General features: G+C 40.3%; 1 long non-coding RNA gene across 6 annotated transcripts in view, besides 1 other annotated feature; it reads right to left on the bottom strand.

Annotated features, from left to right (window-relative positions):
- LOC105370504 (uncharacterized) overlaps positions 1-19,450 on the bottom strand; it is a 402,142-nt gene that overhangs the window by 324,029 nt on the left and 58,663 nt on the right. The window lies entirely within an intron of this gene.
- Positions 6,065-7,264: an enhancer, noted in NCBI's record as "CDK7 strongly-dependent group 2 enhancer chr14:53858219-53859418 (GRCh37/hg19 assembly coordinates)". NCBI's record gives its function as "activates an origin of replication core promoter dependent on BRD2, BRD4, P300/CBP, MED14 and CDK7 cofactors, with strong dependence on CDK7, by STARR-seq in HCT116 cells {active_cell/tissue: HCT116}" and the evidence as "EXISTENCE:reporter gene assay evidence [ECO:0000049][PMID:35650434]".

The following is a 19,450-nucleotide window of genomic DNA, read 5'->3' as shown; positions in this document are numbered from 1 at the left end:
CTTTCTTGAGCTGGATGTGATTTTTAGACTGTGGAGTGTCGATGGAACATCTCCACCTGGCATCCCCCAAACACTTCTCACATAAAATATCCAAATCAAAGCTCACCATTTTCCCCCAACATCCTTCTGCACTCCCCATCTCAGGGATTGGTGTCCCCATTCTTATCCAACTCACAAAGCAGAAACTTGGGAGTTATCCTCAGCAGTTCCCTCTCCTTCACCACTTCTCTTTCCAACTGGTCACCAATCCCGTCTATTCTAACTCAAATACTTTACAAATCTGCTCCCACCCCAGACCATCTTTACTGATATTACTTTAGTTTAAGCACTTACCATTTCTTGCCTCCACTATTACATTAGAGCTTCTCCACCGGTCTTCCTAATCCAATCTTGCCTCTTTTTAGGCCCTCCTCCAAAGACCCTTTCTAAAATGCAAATCTGATTGTGATAATTCATTACAAGCATACCTCAGATATTGTCATTTTGGTTCCAGACCACCACAATAAAGCGAATATTGTAATAAAGTAAGTCACATGAATTATTTTTGGTTCCCAGTACATAGAAAAGTGGTACACACATTGTTTCTTTAGACATACTACTGCACACTTAATATGTGTGCACTTAAGTGTATGTACCTTAACATGTGTGCACTTATTAAGTACACACATTGTACTTAATGTATGTACTTAATGTAACAATGTATGTACCTTAACTAAAAAATACTTCATTGCTAAAAATTAGTAATGATCATTTGAGCCTTCAAGTTGTAATCTTTTTGCTGGTGGAGGGTCTTGCCTCAATAGTGATGTCTGTTGACTGATTAGGGTGGTGATTGGTGAAGATTGGGGTGGCTGTGGCAATTTCTAAAAATAAAACAACAGTGAAGTTTGCCACTTTGATTGACTCTTCCTTTCACAAAAGATTTCTATGTAGTGTGTGATGCTATTTGATATCATTTTACCCACAGTGGAACATCTTTCAAAACTGGAGTCAATCCTCTCAAACCCTGCTGCTACTTTATCAACAAAGTTTATGTAATATTCTAAATCCTTTATTGTCATTTCAACGATGTTCACAGCATCTTTACCAGGAGTAGATTTCATCTCAATAAACCACTTTATTTGCTTATCTACAAGAAGCAACTCCTCATCTTTTAAAGTTTTATCATAAGATTGCACCAATTCAGTTACATCTTTGGGCTCAACTTCTAATCCTAGCTCTCTGCTATTTCTAACACATCTGAAGTTGCATCTGCCACTGAAGACTTGAACCCCTCAAAGCCATCTATAAGGATTGAAATCAACTTCTTCCAAACTTCTGTTGATATTTTGACCTCTTCCCATGAATCGCAAATGTCCTTAATGGCGTCTAGAATGGTGACTCCTTTCCAGAAGATTTTCAATTTACTCTGCCAACATTCACCCAGAGGAATCACTATCTATGGTAGCTATTGCCTTATTAAATGTATTTCTTAAGTAATATAAGTCTTAACAGTCAAAATGGATGTTGTGTTGGTAGGCATGAAAACAACATTCACCTTCTTGTATATCTGCACTAGACCTCTTGAGTCACTAGGTGCATTGCTAATGAGCAGTAATATTTTGAAAGAAACCTTTTTTTCAGTAAACCATGCTATAAACAGATATCCGACCATCTAGGCTTTGTTGTTCCATTTATACAATACAAACAGAGTAGATTTAGCATAACTCTTAAAGGCCCCAGGATTTTCAGGATAGTAAATGAGGACTGGTTTCAACTTAAACTCAGCAGCTGCATTAGCCCCTAACAAGAAAGTCAATCTGTCCTCTGAAACTTTGAAACTAGGATTGATTTCTCCTCTCTAACTACATTTTCATCTACATTGAAAATCTGTTGTTTAGTGTAGCCACCTTCATCAGTTATCTTAGCCAGATCTTCTGTATAACATGCTGCAGCATCTACATCAGCACGTGCCGCTTCACCTTGCACTTTTACGTTACAAAGAACAGCTTCTTTTCTTAAAATGCATGAACTCATCTCTACTAGCTTCAAACTCTTCTTCTGTAGCTCCTTCATCTCTCTCAGCCACCACAGAATTGAAGAGAGTTAGGACCTTGCTCTGGATTAGGCTTCTATTAAAGGAATGTTGTGGCTCATTTGACCTTCTATCCAGGCCACTCAAACTTTCTCTGTATCAACAAGGTTTTTTCACTTTCTTATCACTCATGTGTTCACTGGAATAACATTTTTAATTTCCTTCAAGAGCTTTTCCTTTGCACTCACAACTTGGTTGACTGGTGCCAGAGGTCCAGCTTTCAGCCTCTATTGGCTTTTGACATGCCTTCCTCACTAAGCTTAATCATTTATAGCTTTTGATTTAAAGTGAGACATGTAATCATTTCTCTGCCTTTTGGCTAAGATCAAGTGTAAAGAGAGGGACATGTGACTTTTCTTTTCACTTGGACACTTAGAGGCCACTGTAGGGTTATTAATTGGCCTAATTTCAATATTGCTGTGTCTCAGGGAGAGGAAGGTCAGAGGAGAGGGAGAGAAATGGGGGATTGTCCAGTCTATGGAGCAGTCAGAACATATACAACACTTATTAAATTCTCTATCTTATATGGGTACAGTTCATGCTCCCCCAAAATAATTACAATGGTAACATCAAAGATTATCAATCACACTGTTGCGGGAAGTCAGGGACCCCAAACGGAGGGACTGGCTGGAGCCCCAGCAGAGGAACATAAATTGTGATGACTTCATTTTAATATGGACATATATCAGTTCCCAAAATTAATACTTTTATAATTTTTTACGCCTGTCTTTACTTCACTCTCTGAACATAAATTGTGAAGATTTCATTTTAATATGGACATTTATCAGTTCCCAAAATTAATACTTTTATAATTTATTATGCCTATCTTTAATCTCTTAATCCTGTTATCTTTGTAAGCAGGACCACTATTGTGTTAAACTGTACAAATTGATTGTAAAACGTGTGTTTGAACAGTATGAAATCAGTGCACCTTGAAAAAGAACAGAATAACAATGATTTTCAGGGAACGAGGGAAGACAATCATAAGGTCTGACTGCCTGTGGGGTCGGGCAGAATAGAGCCATATTTTTCTTCTTGCAGAGAGCCTATAAACAGATGTGCAAGTAGGGAAGATATCGCTGAATTCTTTTCCTAGCAAGGAATATTAATAATTAAGACCCTGGGAAAGGAATGCATTCCTGGGGGGAGGTCTACAAATGGCCGCTCTGGGAGTGTCTGTCTTATGCAGTTGAGATAAGGACTGAAATACGCCCTGCTCTCCTGCAGTATCCTCAGGCTTATCAGGGTGGGGAAGAAACCCCAACCTGGTAAATTTGAGGTCAGACTAGTTCTCTGCTCTCGAACCCTGTTTTCTGTTGTTTAAGATGTTTATCTCAAAATTTGCAAAGAAAAAAGTAAAGTGCAGTAAGACAAGGTATGTTTGTACTTCAAACCCTCCCATAGCTCCAGTTGCTGAACAACAGAATCCAACTCCTTGACCTGGCATAAAAGGCCATCATCTTCTACCTTTTCAGCTTAACTTTGGTGCTACAGCCACACCCACTGACTTGACCTTCCTCTAATGTGTGTAATCCCCTGCTTAGATTTTCCCTGGAACTACTCCTTCCCTCACCACTATCGGAAGCCCTCAGAGTCTGGACTTCTTATTCTGTATTCCGAGAGCAACTTACATCATTATCAGAATGTATTACAATTGTCTATCCATTTAGAATCTCTTCCCCACTATATTGCAAGCTCCCAAGTGCTATTTATTTATTAACCTCTAATAGCACTCTGTCATCATATGTTTAACGGAAGAATGGCAGGTGTGAGAGACAGACTGGATAGTTTGGAACTGGAAAGGAATTTGTACTTTGTATTTTCTAATAAGCAAATGGTGTTATGTAAAATACTAGTCCCTGACACAGATTAGGCATGGAAGGTTTAACTGGAGTAGAACCATAGGAACCAAGTGGTTCAGGACTTAGATCCCATCATTGTTACTGAAGAAAAATTTGGGGAATGAGAGGAAGCCTACCCTCAGGCTTATTAGGGTGGGGAAGAAACCCCACCCTGGTAAATTTGAGGTCAGACTAGTTCTCTGCTCTTGAACCCTGTTTTCTGTTGTTTAAGATGTTTATCAAGACAATACGTGCATAGCTGAACATAGACCCTTATCAGGAGTTTTTGATTTCGCCCTTTGCCTTGTGATCTTTGCTTTGCCCTTTGCCTTGTGATCTTTATTGGCATGTGATCTTCGTTCTCCTTTTTGCTCTTTGATGCATGTGATCTTTGTGACCTACTCCTTGTTCATACACCCCCTCCCCTTTTAAAGTCCTTAATAAAAACATGCTGGTTTTGCGGCTCAGGTGGGCATCACAGTCCTCCCGATATGTGATATCATCCCTGGTGGCCCAACTGTAAAATTCCTCTCTTTGTACTCTTTCTCTTTATTACTCAGCTGGCTGACACTTAGGGAAAATAGAAAGAACCTATGGTGAAATATTGGGGGCAGGTTCCCCGATATCACACATCACCATAATAGATGTAAAAATAATGAAAAAGTTTGAAATTTTGCAAGAATTACTAAATGTGGCACAGAGACAGGAATTGAGCACAGACTGTTGGAAAAATGATGGTGATATGCTTGCTTGACACAGAAGTGCCATAAACCTTCAATTTGTTAAAAAAAAAAAAAAAAAAAAAAAAAAAAAAGGAGGTCATGAGAATCGCTTGAACCCAGGAGGTGGAGGTTGCAGTGAGCTGAGATCATGCCACTGCACTCCAGCCTGGGCAACAGAATGAGACTCTGTCTCAAAAAAAAAAAAAAAAAAAAAAAAAGGTAATTATCATCACAGAAGGCTTTGAACAGGAAATAGTGTAGTGCCCAATCCTGGGGAGAAATTGGTAAGGCAGGCCTGGTGGGACTAGGATTCTCAACAGGTGATCAGGAATGGGAATCAGGCACACGGAAACAAGGTGAATTTTATTTCATTATCGAGGCTAAGGGGAAGCCTGGAGTCAGGGATGCAACTGAACTGAGAGAAAAGTCAAAGTCAGAGCCCCAGCAATATTGAAGCTAAGTTATGAGCATCTTGCTAGGGCCCCTGGAAATCCCAACAAGGACAGGATTGCTCCAGCATCTAAGGCAGAGCAGAGTTGAGGCTAATAAGTTCTCTGAGCAGGAGGAGCAGACTTGTGGTCAGGCACTAGGGCAAGCCATGGCTATATCCATAGGATACTACATTTAGGAAATGTGAACATCCTGGTTTTTTTTTTTTTTTGACACAGAGTCTTTCTCCATCGCCCAGGCTGGAGTGCAGTGGCACTATCTTGGCTCACTGCAAGCTCCACCTCCTGGGTTCAGCCATTCTCCTGCCTCAGTAGCTGGGACTACAGACAAGCACCACCACGCCTGGCTAATTTTTATATTTTTAGTAGAGACGGGGTTTCACCATGTTAGCCAGGATGGTCTTGATCTCCTGACCTCATGAGCCGCCCACCTCGGCCTCTCAAAGTGCTGGAATTACAGGCATGAGCCACCGCGCCCGGCCGGAAATGTGAACATCCTTTTATGAGTGCAGGCCCAATTTTTTTACTTATGGTAAGATACTTACCTGTTGGCACTTTTTCTAATGACACCTTATGTATTCCAAGGAAACAGAGGTTTCCCTCCTTCACACTACAGCCAGTTAAGAGAACTAAAAACAGGTTTAAAAATGTTGGGCTTGTTTACATCTTAGTTAAAAAACTGAGAAATACAATTCTGGCAAAACAGTCATTATTGCTGGATTCCTTCAAGAAGTTGAAAATCAAAAGCTTTCAGAGCAGAATGTGAGCACTCTGCACCCAGTCACTTTGTGCTCCAGGTTTAGGCAGTGGTGACTCAGGTCAATGTAGGAGACCAAGGAAGGTCATCTGGAGGTCAGGGAGGCAAGCTTAGAAGGTCCCACTTTACATGTGGAGGCTCAGGTCAGATTTTTTTAAAAAAAAACAAAAGGAGTTTTGAGGCTAAGTTTTTAAATGACCCATTACACATTTCTTCTTTTACAGATGCATAATAAATTGAGGCACAGAGAAGTTACATAAAATTCCAAAATCATACCCCTAGTTGGTAGCAAAGATTTGATGACACAAAGGGAGATCAAGTCAAAAACTATTCAGACATTCTCTAGGAGCTTTTGGTCTATGAGTGGAAAATCAATGTTCCATGTTCCAATATCCACCTGCAGAAAATTCAGAGTGGTATATAAGTATTAAACAAAGCCATGACTGGATAGGTATATACATCCATACAGACTCACATCAATATTTTCAGCTTCATATATTGAAAAAAGTCTCAAAAACAATGTGATAATTTATAATATGTAATTTATAAAATTTAGAAGTTGCTTTAGCTAAGCAGACCAGTGAGGGTACAGTCCAGAAAACAAAAGCCATTCTGTATCTTTGAAACAAAAGTGTATTTGGTACAGAGAACTGGTTTCACAGATTATTAAAAAAAGAGGAAAAAAGCTGAGAATCCTAACAAATAGTGCAACTTCCCCCAGATGAGCAATTGTAAGAAGTCATGGCCACTCTTTGGGCTGGAGGGTAAGCAGGAGAGTTGGTGTCCCTACAGCTAGGCCAGGAAGGGAGTTTCCAGCAAGGGGCCAGGCCTGCAGAGGAAGAAGCCATCTAGTGGGGCCTGAAGTCTTGGAAAAGACTCAGTCTCAACTCTATCCTCAAGAACCACAAAAAAAGGTAAGAGAAAGTCAACTTAAATTAGGAAATGACTCTTCTCCGACTCCACCCTATCTCTCCCTTTCTGTGTTTTGATTGCAATCCGATTCATCTTCACCCCCCGAGGTACTTCTCCCAAGGAAGGAAGCCACCCATTGATGCTGATCTGAGTCAATTGCTCTTATCCTTTGGGGTTAGGAATAGCTGCATGAGGAGTGAGCCATCACATGACAAAGTAATCCAGAGGAGTGTGGTTCCTGAGCATAATGAAAACGCCAAGGTTAAAGATGATGACTAACTGCAGTTAAATCACCTTCCAAGTTCTACTTTGCTTAATTAATCCTTTCTTCACTCTCTGGCATATAATGAATTCTTAAAGGAACATTTTAAACTTACACAGTCACCTCCCCCATTCAAGCCAGCAAAAGTATGATCCAGAAAGATAGGAAACAGAAAAATCGATTCTATTTACCAGTGAGGTGTTTTTGGAAACCCACTATTCTTCATACCTATTCCTTAGGGGACAGGGGGATACCAGAAAGAGTCTCTGCCCTTCTGTTAACCATCTGGGGGGAATATGCAACAAGGGAGCATGAATTCCCACTTTCAAGGTCACCCTGACACGTGGAGGTTTTCCAACATTTTGGAAGCTGACTCATTCCAGCACATTGCTTTGTTGTGGCATCAGCTGTCAGTGGGCGGGATGACAGGGGCAACCAAGACTGAGTATACATAGCCTGAGTCCCTAAATTAAGAGGCTTCTATGTGCTATCTCATTTAATTTTTAGAATAATCATATGAAGACAGAACTTTTATCTCCTTATGAGGAAGAGATGGCTTAGGAAGCCCTAACATGTAGAATTTAAATTCTCCTTCCTTCCAGTTCGCACTCCCACATGGACACACAGGCCACCCCTAATCCATCCCTCTCCCCTCATTCATTCATTCATCCATTCTTTCACTTAATGAACAGTTATTGGCTGGGCATGATGGCTGACACCTCTAATCCCAGCCGAGGCTGGAGGACTGCTTGAGCACAGGAGTTTGAGACCAGCCTGGATAACATAGCAACACCTCATGTCTACTAAAAATATTTTTAAAATTAGGCAAGCATGATGACATGCGCTTGCAGTCCCAGGTGCTTGGAAAGCTGAGGTGGGAGGATTGCTTGAGCCCAGGAGTTAGAGGTTGCAGTGAGTTATGATCACACCACTGCACTCCAGCCTGGGCAACAGAGCAAGATCCTGTCTAAAAAAAAAACCCAAAAAACAAACAAACAAAAAAAAAGACTATTGATCACCTACTATGTGCCAGACACTAGAGATAAAGCAGAGAATAAAAAAAGAAAAAATTCCCACTCTCATGGAGTTTGTATTCTAGTCTAGGATGACAGCAAAAAAAAAAAAATCAAAATATATAGTTTATCCAATGATACTATGGGGTTATGAAAAAAACAACAATAATGTAAGGAAAGGTCATATATTTTCCTAGGATGAGAACACTGCCATTTTTTAAGAGGTCAAGGAAAGCTTTTTTGTAAAGATGAACTATTGAGGAAAGCTCTAAAGTAGGTGAGAGTGGGAGCCATACAAATATCTTAGGAAAGAGCATTCTAGCCAGAAGGAACAGCAAGTGCAGAGGCCCTCGGGTTGGAACATGCCTTGTAACGTGCTCCACGAATAGCAAAGGGCTTGTGGTAGCTGAAGTGGAGTGAGGGTAAGAAAGAAATAGTGGGAGATGCGCTCAGAAATGTGAGAGAGATGAGATTTCGTAGGGCCTTCTGGGCTTTTTTTAAGAACTCTGGCATTTACTCTGAGTAAGATGGGAAACCAGTAGAGCAGAAGACTGACATGCTCTGACTTGCTTTTTAAAAAGGATTGCTCTGTCTGTTGGATGGAGAAAGGAATGGAGGGGTACAAGTGCAAAAGCAAGGAAACCAATTGCAATAATCCAGAGGAGAGATGGAGTTGGAGGCGATAAAAGGTCAGATTCTGCATATATTCGAGACAAATTTTTAAGATCCTCCAGAGTACAAATGTATGGCCATTCATTCTCTTTCCCTGAGTCTTTAGGGTAAATCTGCGATGTTCATAAATCCAAGATCCAGGAACTTGGAGCAGTGAGGAGCTCAGTTACCAAAGCTTGGATTTGGTTAGTGTCTTTCATGGATTTTAAAGAAACTGAAGCAGGGAGTAAGTTTAATGAAAAGGAAAGGATATAAGTGGTTAATATTGGTCAGGATAAGGAACCGCAGCAGCAATATCAATATACTGAGTTCCTAATATGTTTTTTGTTGTTTTTATTTGTTTGTTTGTTTGAGATGCAGTTTCACTCTGTCACCCAGGCAGGAGTGCAATGGTGCGGTCTTGGCTCACTGCAACCTCTGCCTCCCGGGTTCAAGTGATTCTCCTGCCTCAGCCTCCCAAGTAGGATTACAAGTGGGATTACAGGTGCCCACCACTTAATGTGTTAAGTCCCTATATGTAAGAGGTTTCTGTATACTATCTCATTTAATCCTTAAAACAATCATCTAAAGACAGAACTTATTTTATGGGGAAGCAACAGCTCAGGAAGGCTTAGTAACTCGGTCTGAGTCACATGATTAATACAAGGCTAAGCTGAAACTTAAGTCTGGCTCACTTCTCTCTAAAGTCTGTGGCATTTCCTCTACACTACAATTATTCATTCACTCAATGAATGTTTATTAAATCCCTAGTGCAGCTGCATAAGACACAGACATGAGCTAGATAGGACACCTGCCCTCAATAAACTTCTAACTATAAATGTGGCACTGATGCTTAGAAAAGAAGCTGTTTCTGGAAAATATAGTTTTCTTCCTTTCATTCATTGAACAAATATTTATTGAGTGCCTACTAAGTACTGGCATAAAAGTCTTTCTCTCCCGAAGCTTACATTGTGGTAGGGGGATCCAGACAACAAACAAAAATGTAAAACCCCTCAGGCAGGGATGCATACTATAGAGAGAAATAAAGTCGGGCTGCAGAGCTCTCATTATTCTATATGGATTGGTCAGGGATGCTTCCTCTGCTAGGATCATGTGTAAGGAAGGACCTAAAAAAATTGATGGAGCATGGCATGCAAATATCTCAGTAGAGAGCCTTCCTGCCAGAAGGAAGAGCTACTGTAAAAGCCCTGGGTACTCCGGGAAGAGCAAGAAAGCACCATGGCAGGAGTGGCAGGAGCAAGGGAGACGGTGATAGGAGACAAGGTCAGAAAGGTGGTAGTGGATGGCCCAGCAAAGAGATCAACTAGAAGGCTATTGCCATAATTCAGGAGAAAAATTATGAGAACTTAGACCATATTAGAAGGAGTGGCCATAGTGAGGAGTAAAAAGATTTGGGTTATATTTTGAAAGTTGGGGATTTGCTGACAGATTTTATATGGAGTGTAAGAGAAAAAAATTTGACCTCAGCTACAGGAAGCACAGAGTTGTATATTTGGAGTTAGGGAAGGCTACAGGAAAAACTGATTTGGGAGGGAATGAAGACAAATTAAGTTTTAGTTGTTGGACGGGGGTTGATGCGTTAGTCTGGAGTGTGAGGGAGAGGAGCAGGCTGAAGATGTAAGTGTAAGTGTATACCTGGTATTTACACCTCTGAGTCCAGATAAAATCACCTAGGGAGAAAGCACAGCTGGAGAACGGGACATCTGAGCCTGGGGACTCTCCAACCTTGAGATGAAAAGGAGGCAGCAGAAAAATCCTAACACCATACCTACCTAAGTGAGAATCTTGGGAGTTTGAGTTTAGATATCTGTATTTTTAACAAGCTCCCCCAGCCATGGTAATGCACAGTTGAGCTTGGGAACAACTGAAAAACTGAGACCTGCACTCAATGGTTCACCTTCTTGTCATAATTTAGTAAAGTACTTTTAATTGTTTGTGTTACTAATTTTAGGTAATCTAGTAAAGTGCTTGTGAGATGGGAATTATGAATAGACAGCCAGGGAAGGAGGAAATGTCCGATGCTATAGCTTATGCTTCCAACCAAAGACATGTTGTTTTCTATACTCTAGATCACTTCATTCAATTCCAAAAAATTGGCTGTCCCAAATTTCCATTCCTATATGCTCTCAGATGTGTTCCTAGTTTTTGAATAGAGAAAGGTGGGGAGATGTTTTTAAGCATATTGGTTGGGTTTTCTTAATTCATTGTTTCATCACATGAGGTAGCCAAAGAAATCTTAGCTTGCTTCTGTGTGCCTATTAAACAAGGGAGTAGATGACAAAAAGATTGATGCTAACCAATTTTTCATGAGGGTTAGAGTTATCCAGGAAAGTGTCAATAGTAGACACCCTAAAAAGGGATTCTGATAGATAGATATATATCACTGAGTTTCACAAAGCCGTGAATCTGAATGTGAGATCAACAAAGGGGAGAGTAAGAGCCAAAAGCCAGTGCAAGCAAAATGGCCCCAAGAGAGTCACTGCAGCTGACTACACATTTATATATAGTATATACTGCTTGTCACAGCAATAGCCACATACACAAGGACTGAAATTCTAAGTGGATGATAAATACCAATACAAGAGGAACTAATCAAGAGGAGTAGAGCTGATTAAGGCTGCAGTGTTAAGCACTGCCAAAAGATAAAATGATCAGAAAGCTCAAACTGAGGATTCAGGGAGGAAAAATGGCTGCATTTGCTGAAAGGTTCAATAAATGTTTGGAGAATCAAATCCCTATAGAACCTCATATACATAACTTAGGATGAAGTTATACTTGATCTCTTGATCTGTTTACTGGCAGCATGGGAATTACCCGGAAACCTATTAGAAATACAGAATCTCAGGCCAACCCCCGACCTCCTAAATCAGAATCAGCTTATTAATAAAGATCCCAGGGGATTTGTGTGCACACCAAAATTTGAGAAACTCTGATGAAGGAGTCTGTTGCCTTTAAAATTATCACTGACAAGGAGGGTGGAAGGAAAGGAAGTAGTGGCTGGCTCAGCACTAGACTGTGATGAAGAATGGACAGATACCTAAACTTGTCTTCACAGAGTTCAATAAAAAATCCAGGAAGCTCCTCAGTTTGTTAAGTGAAAGAAGACTGAAGAAGGAGAAATTTGGAGAGAAGGTCTGAGCCCTCAATCAAGTGCAATCCCAGACTAGTTACTTGGGTTCCAACTGTTCCCATAGCAAGGCACAGATACGGAAGCATAAACTCTGATTTGGGGACATTCTGTGTGAGCTAACAAGGCACCAAGAGAAGAATCAAGGTGGTTTGGGTAGACACAGCAGTCACTAAGAGGAGCAGGCACTCACCCTTCAGAAAGTCCTTTCCATTCAGAAAGGAATGGAAATTATGGTCAAATAGCGACAATTCAATTTTGGTAAGTGGAATTTCCAGATGCACGGAAAATATGAACTTTAGAGGACTTCACAAACATTAACATTTCTGCAAAGGCTTCAGTGGCCATGAATCACACTTGCTTGCATAGCACTGAATTCTAACCATCTCCTATACAGTGAACCTCAACCCCACAGGCCTAACCAAGTCCATCAGGAACAGAATCCGAGAACTATGTGTTCTAAAACAAACCAACACACGTGCTCTTGCCATTCTGAAAGTGTTTTCTGGAGAGCCCTCTTCCTTCTATACCACAGTGTTGAGCAAGGAGAGGAAAAAGTCATATCATTATCCCATATATTCTTTTCATCCAGCCACAATTACAGGGGGGCTTGCAGCATGTTATGCGAGCCTGTCATCAAGGCTGAAGCTAAAAAATTTGAATTACACAACAGTAAGATGGGCCTGTGCATCCACTCAAGCAAGGGAATTCAACCTCAAACCAACTTACTTAAGGTACTCTGCCATCCATGCCAACTGCCAGTTACCCTGAAGAGTTCAAACACACATCGGTACTGATGTCTTGCAAACGGACCAGAAAAATATATGTATTCTTAAAGCATTTAATAGTATTACCTTCAAGTCAGGTGCTATGCTAAGTGCATTCCATGAATTTTCACATTTTCTCTTCAAATGTAGGACCTTCAAAAGTTGTGATTAGCTGTATTATCACCATTGTATAGATATGGGAACCAACACTCAAAAAGGTTCAATAACTTGTCCAAGGCCACATGGTAAGTATAAAAGCAGGATTCAAACTCAGGCCAGTTGACTCTAATGCCTTAGAGTTCACTACCAAAGGGCTCAACTTCCCATTATCATCTGCCCAGTCTCCCAACATTAATTGTAATGGAATAGAATTTACGAGACAGACGCATTTACCATCTGCTTAAAGAGAACTTACTTGCCTGGACAAATGCCCACTTGCAAAGGAATGCCATAGAATACTTATTTATGGTATCTACTAAGCATGGGAAATAACTCTAACTGAAGTGAAAAATTTATGCAGAAGTAGAGCCATCTGCCTTTGCAATGACACTTGGCCAGTAGACTTGGGCTCCCATTGTTCCCACAGCAAGGCACAGATATGGGAGCATAAGCTCTGATTTGGGGGACGTTTCTGCGTGAGCTAACAAGGCACCAAGAGAAGAATCAAGGTGGTTTGGGTAGCCACAGCAGTCACTGAAAGGAGCAGGCACTCACCCTTCAGAAAGCCTCTCTAATTCTAAAAGAGATTTCTACCACAGTTACCACCTTCTAGAAAAGGGTCAAGGGGAGTCCACTCTCTTCCCTAGAGGTGGGTGGTTAGCAGCCAACCCTGATGCAAGCCTCCAGGACCACTCCATGGGGCAGTGGCAGACTTATATGTCAGCAGGAAGCCAGCTTGCCACCCAGACACTAAAATATTATTGGAGCAGGCTAGACCTTGGCATCTGGCTGGTCCAGCTGCCAACACACCTTGCCAGTAACTGCAGGTGCTGGCTGCTGCTCTGGCACTGTCTGAGGAAAAGGAGAGTGCAAGAAAATATTACACAGACAAATTTTCAGCTTAGGGGCAGTGATTCTATCCATGTGCCAATGTGCCTGATCATTGTGTTGCTATATAGAAGTCGGGTTATGATGTTACTGTGAGCCTATCTTAAGCATGAACACATAATCAGGGTTAGGAGGAGGTCTTTCTCATAATATTATAGTTCTCAGTCAAGAGAACTTCATCACTGAGAACACACACACTTGCCAAATAAATATATTTAAACATCAGCGGAAAATTTTTCTGAGTATGAGGAGGTTATATATAAAGGATCACAGTGGGGAGGAGAAAACATTAATTTATTATGGAAAGAAAGGATGACATCTTCAAACACCCAGTTGAAACAGCATCTCCTTCCTGGCTGGGAATTTGTGGTGTTACGTGTGTGTCGTGGAGGAGGTGATTGGGGGAGGCCGGCAGATGGCAGAAGTCTAAATAGAGCATGGTGTGGGTTGTTGGGCTCCCCAGGATGAAGAAACCTTACTGGAAAACTAGTTTTAAAAGAACAGAGTGTTTGTAAGCAGGGTTCCTATATGACGCCAGTGAAAGGAAAGAAGATGGAAAACATCTTCCAATTCCAAAAGCTGAAAAAGAAGATAAAGACCAAGTTTCACATAAGAAAACGTCCTCTCATAGAAAAACAGCTATTTGTCACTGCTTCCAAGAAGTAATCTGTTTGATCCAGAAGGTTTCTGGCCTCTACTATGCCACCTGGAACCTCAAGTGTAGTCTCCCAATCTCTTGTAACCTGAGATTCTCCATCTACACACAGAAGCTAATAATGCCTCCAGGCCCAGCACTGTCCACACCTTTAACATGGCTGCCAGGAGGTGGCTAGCCTCTCCAGAGCATAATTAGTCACCCTTCCCCAAGAAAATAAATACCAAGGAGGTGTTAGAAAACGATGTCATTACATTTAATTCACCAGTATTGGCTGCACTGGACATGCCCAGTACTGTGTGCTAATCAGCTAACCAGGATCAGAAAGGTGCTAAGGATTAATTTGTCCATTCCACAGCCACTTAGTAAGCACTTAGTCAATGTAGAACATTGGATTAGGTCCAGAGAAGGGTACCTGTCCCATGTCCTCAAGATGCTTGCTCCACAGTAGAGAATCTTAAGAAATATATATAAATCACAATGATTTACAGTATTCTGTGAGATGTACCAAATGGTATAAGCTGGATTTGTTCACTGCTTGCCTTATAAAGGCCTTATTCTTCTTAAGGTTGATTTTGCTAGTTAAAAGGCTAAGAAGTTTTCAAGAGTAGTTGGCAGGGTGGTTTAGTAATCAGTTCTGTGTGAATCCTACCATTTAGAAACCAAGAATGAGGCTGGATGTAGGAAATGGGTAAAAGGAGCTCAACCTCTAAAAAAAAAAAAGAAAAAAGGCAGTGGACTCACTTTGCTGAAAATTATCTTTTTTATTCTTGAGCTAGAAGAGTCACCATGGGTTTTGAAGAGTTCTTACATCAACAGCATAATAACACTGAGTTCCAAAAACATTGGGAGGCTTTGTTATTTTTCCTAATACTTCATCTTTTACCTTTACACTAACAAAATTATATTTCAGTTGTATCCTAAAAAAAAAAGTTGAGGTAATATACCAAAGATTCCGAGTTCCTCATGCAAACAAGACCAAGTTCTTTCCTGCAGCAATATATCATTAACTTGCCAACATCCGGGCTGAGAGGTTTGTGATGTTTTGAATAAAACTTCAAAGGTCAAGGGTAAGCAAGGACCTAGAATTACTATTGCATCTAAAATTATTTTACAGCCTTCAAAAGAACATGGAAAAAATGATTGCAATTCTCAAAATTATATACCGCCTTTGGGGAAAACACATTTTGGAGTCCTTGGAAGTGCACAGGTAATGTAAGAAGAGCCAGGCCATTTTCCACATTATAGTCAGTGCCAGACAGGAGGCATGGAGGCCTGGGCACTGCCTTAGAATCCCAACCTGTTGCCTGAAATTTGCATGTGGGTTTTCATAATTTCCCCCACAAATAGATACCCCTTCTCATTTTTTTCTATTACTTTCTTGGTTCCTAAGCTTGCAGACTTCAGTTGGTTTTTCTTGCTCTTCCTCTTCTCACATTGTTTATTCACTTATTTGACAACTACCTAAATGGCTGCCTGTACCACATTAGGCCCTGTCCTGGGTGTTAGGATTATAATGGCCTCTGCCCTTCCAGAGCTGCAGTCCAGTTGGGATTACTAATAAGTAAACAACCAATTACAATACAGCAGTGTTTCCAAAAGTGTGGGTTTGGTCAAGCTCTACTAAATCAGTCTTTGGCCTGAATCTGGAAGTGTGCATTTAGGAAGCACTAGAGGTTAATATTGTGCCCACCAAAATTTGAAGAGACATTCAGTATAATAGTTTGTGCTAAAGTAGGATGCTCTTGTGCTGCACTGGGTAATAAAGAGACCCATGGGAGAAAAAATTAGCCCTAGTTGAGGGAAGGGACAAAAAATTAGCCCTAGTCGAGGGAAGGGACAGGAGAGATTTTCTGCCGAGTGATGTCTAAATTGAGATCTCAAGTATACATAGGAATTACCCCCATTTAGGGGAAAAGGTAGAGGGTAGGTGCAAAAAGAAGAAATGTCCCAGGAGAGCCATTTCTTACAAAACCCAGAAGTGGAGAGAGTTCTTCAGGGTGGCTGGAATGAGAGGCAGCAGCAGGGAGACATGGGTGTTTGGAGAGGCAGGCAGGAAACAGATTAGGAAGAACCTCATAATGTTATTGTGGAATTTGGACTTTAACTTGACCACAGTGAGGAACTACTGGAGAATTCTTAAGGCCAAGAAGAGAAAATTAAATGAGCAGTATGACTCCCTTTCCCATTACTATGGGTTTGTGCTACCCTTAGAGAGAGCCCATGAGGTTCTGGAACCACCTTTAAGGTAGCGACTTTTTTTCACCATCTGTCCTCAATTTGTTCCTCTCTTCTTTCCACTTCTGCAATATTTCTAATCTCTCCTGTCTGGATTATGATAACATCTTTCAAAGTGGCTGCCTTGTCATTGTGCCCAATCTTGTCTATTAGCTATGCTGTCAAAATGACCTCAGCCATTGATTTAATCATGTTACTCTCCTGCGTAAGAATCTTCCTCTTTTTCTACCTGTGACTAAATTTCTTGTCCTAACACTCAAGGCCTGCCATCATCTTCTTTTCACATCTCTGTCTCCTTAGCACATAGGGTCTTCATGCTTTTTCAACCCTTCAGGCCCAGCATGGAACCATCAGGTACCTCTTGATAAAAACATTTACTCTTGAGTATTAACTCTCAATTATATCACACGTTCAAGTCTATTAGCTTTAATTATAAAGCAAGCAACCTTATTTTTTATCTAAGGAATATCAGGCATCAGCAAAGGAAGAAGGAAAGATTTTATGAAAGCAAAGCTTCTTTCTGACTTCCCAGTCTCATGTGTGGTCTGACAAAGTTGCCCAGTGAAGCACCATCTGAGGCACAGTAATAGGAAACGACACCTTGTGTTTAGCTTTTGTCCTGCCCTTCCCCATCCTCTCCCCTGCGTGATTTTGCATTTCACAACGTCTAGAGGTGGTTGGGTTTTTTTCTTAATGAATTGTCAGATTTTATGTTTTTCCATTGCCTCTTTGTTTCCTGTTTTACATTTATATTTTGGGTAGTTACCAAAAGGTTTTCTTCATCTTGAACACCAGGACCTTATTTGGATTGTTTCATTGCAATATTGGGGACTGGTATGCTGCTCTACTAAATTCTCTCCAACCTTCTGCCTGGCAGAAAGGAACTCAGTATCTGTTCTTGGTGGGAGTGGCAATGTCCCTTCCCCAGCCTCTGGTCCAGTACCCCAGTCTGAGTCCACCCCACTTTAAGGTTATGCTGGCATCCCTCCTCCCCATCCCAACCACTGGAATGGGTGAGGGGCTTATGCAGTTACCTATTCAGCTATCTAAGACTTCTGCCACTTCTCTTGAAAGATTTATAGAAATTGTGTAAGAAATATTTTTTCTTATTTCTAGGTTGAGTTTTCCTTTTCTCAGTTTCAAGTTGGTCACCTAAGAGTCAATCATAAAATTTATGAGTCATAAATTATGTCTTTTGTGGAATAAGTCACAAGGGAGAGAAAAACAACTGAAAAGAGACAGACAGAGGTAGGAGGAGAGAGGCTGAAAAAAAAACGTGTGAGCTCTTTTAAGATCAAAAGAACAACATTTTCATTTAGCTTTAGTGATGCCCAGCATAATGGAATCCTTTCCTTTTTAAAAAACAGCTTTATTGAAATACAATTCACATATCATGCAATTCATACACTTAAAGTGTACAGTTCAATGGTTTTTAGTCTATTCACAGAGTTATGATATCACAATCTAATTTTAGAACATTTTCATACCCCCAGTCCACTCCCATTCACGGCAACCACTAATCTACTTTTGTCTCTAAACATTTTCATACCCCTACTCCACTCCCATTCATGGCAACCACTAATCTACTTTTGTCTCTATAGATTTGCCTATTTTGGACATTTTACATAAATGGAATTATACAGTAGGTTTTTTTTGTGAATGGCTTCTTTCATTTAGCATAATGTTTTCAAGTTCCACCCATGTTGTAGCATGTGTCAATATTCCATTCCTTTTATTGCCAAATAATATTCCATTATATGGATATACCACATTTGCTTATCTACATCAGTTGAATAGATTTGGGCTATTATAAATAATGCTGCTGTGAATATTCATATACAAGTTTTCATGTTCATATGTTTTTAATTCTCCGTGGTATCCTAGGAGCAGAATCACTGAATCACGTGCTAAATCTGTATTTAACATTTAAGGAATTGCTAACATGTTTTCCATAGCAACTGCACCATTTTACATTCCCACTAGCCTTGTGTGAGGCTTCCAGTTTCTCCACATCCTCACCAACAGTTACTATCTGTGTTTTTCATTATAGCCATCCAAGTGGGTTGAAGCAATATCTCATTGTGATTTTAATTTCCATTTCCCTGATGACTAATAGTGTTGAACATCTTTTCATGTGTTTATTGGCCATTTGTAAATCTTTGGAGAAATATATATTCAGATATTTTGCTCATTTTTAATTAGGTTGTCTTTTTTATTATTGAGCTATAATAATGTTTTTCATGTTCTGGATAAAAGTCCCTTATCAAATATATAATTTGCAAATATTTTCTCCCATTCTGTGGTCTGTCTTTTCATTTTCTCAATGGTACTGTTTGCAACACAAAACTTTTTAATCTCACTGAAATCTAACTTGTCTATTTTTTCTTTAGTTGCTTATGCTTTTGGTGTCATATTTTCAGCAAAGTAACACAAGAAGAGAAAACCAAACACTGCATGTTCTCACTCATAAGTGGGAGTTGAACAATGAGAACACGTGGACACAGGGAGGGGAAGATCACACACGGGGCCTGTCGGGGGTTGGGGGCATGGGGGAGGGATAGCATAAGGAGAAATACCTAATGTAAATGACAAGTTGATGGGTGCAGCAAACCAACATGGCACATGTATACCAATGTAATAAACCTGCATGTTGTGCACACGTACCCCAGAACTTAAAGTATAATAATAATAATAATAATAATAATAATAATAAAAGCTGTTGCTCAACCCAAGTTACAAAGATTTACACCTATGTTTTCTTCCAAGAGCTTCATAGTTTTAGCTCTAAAATTTAGATCCATAACCCATTTTGAGTTAACTTTTGTGTATGCTGTGAGGTAGGCATCCAAATTCATTCTTTTGCATGTGGATATACAGATGTCCCAGTACCATTTTGTGAAATTACTATTCTTTC

The sequence above is a fragment of the Homo sapiens genome, chromosome 14, assembly GCF_000001405.40.
Source record: "Homo sapiens chromosome 14, GRCh38.p14 Primary Assembly".
NCBI classification, from domain to species: domain Eukaryota; kingdom Metazoa; phylum Chordata; class Mammalia; order Primates; family Hominidae; genus Homo; species Homo sapiens.
Note: the sequence above shows the minus strand (reverse complement) of the source record. Positions and strands in the feature narration are given on the sequence as shown.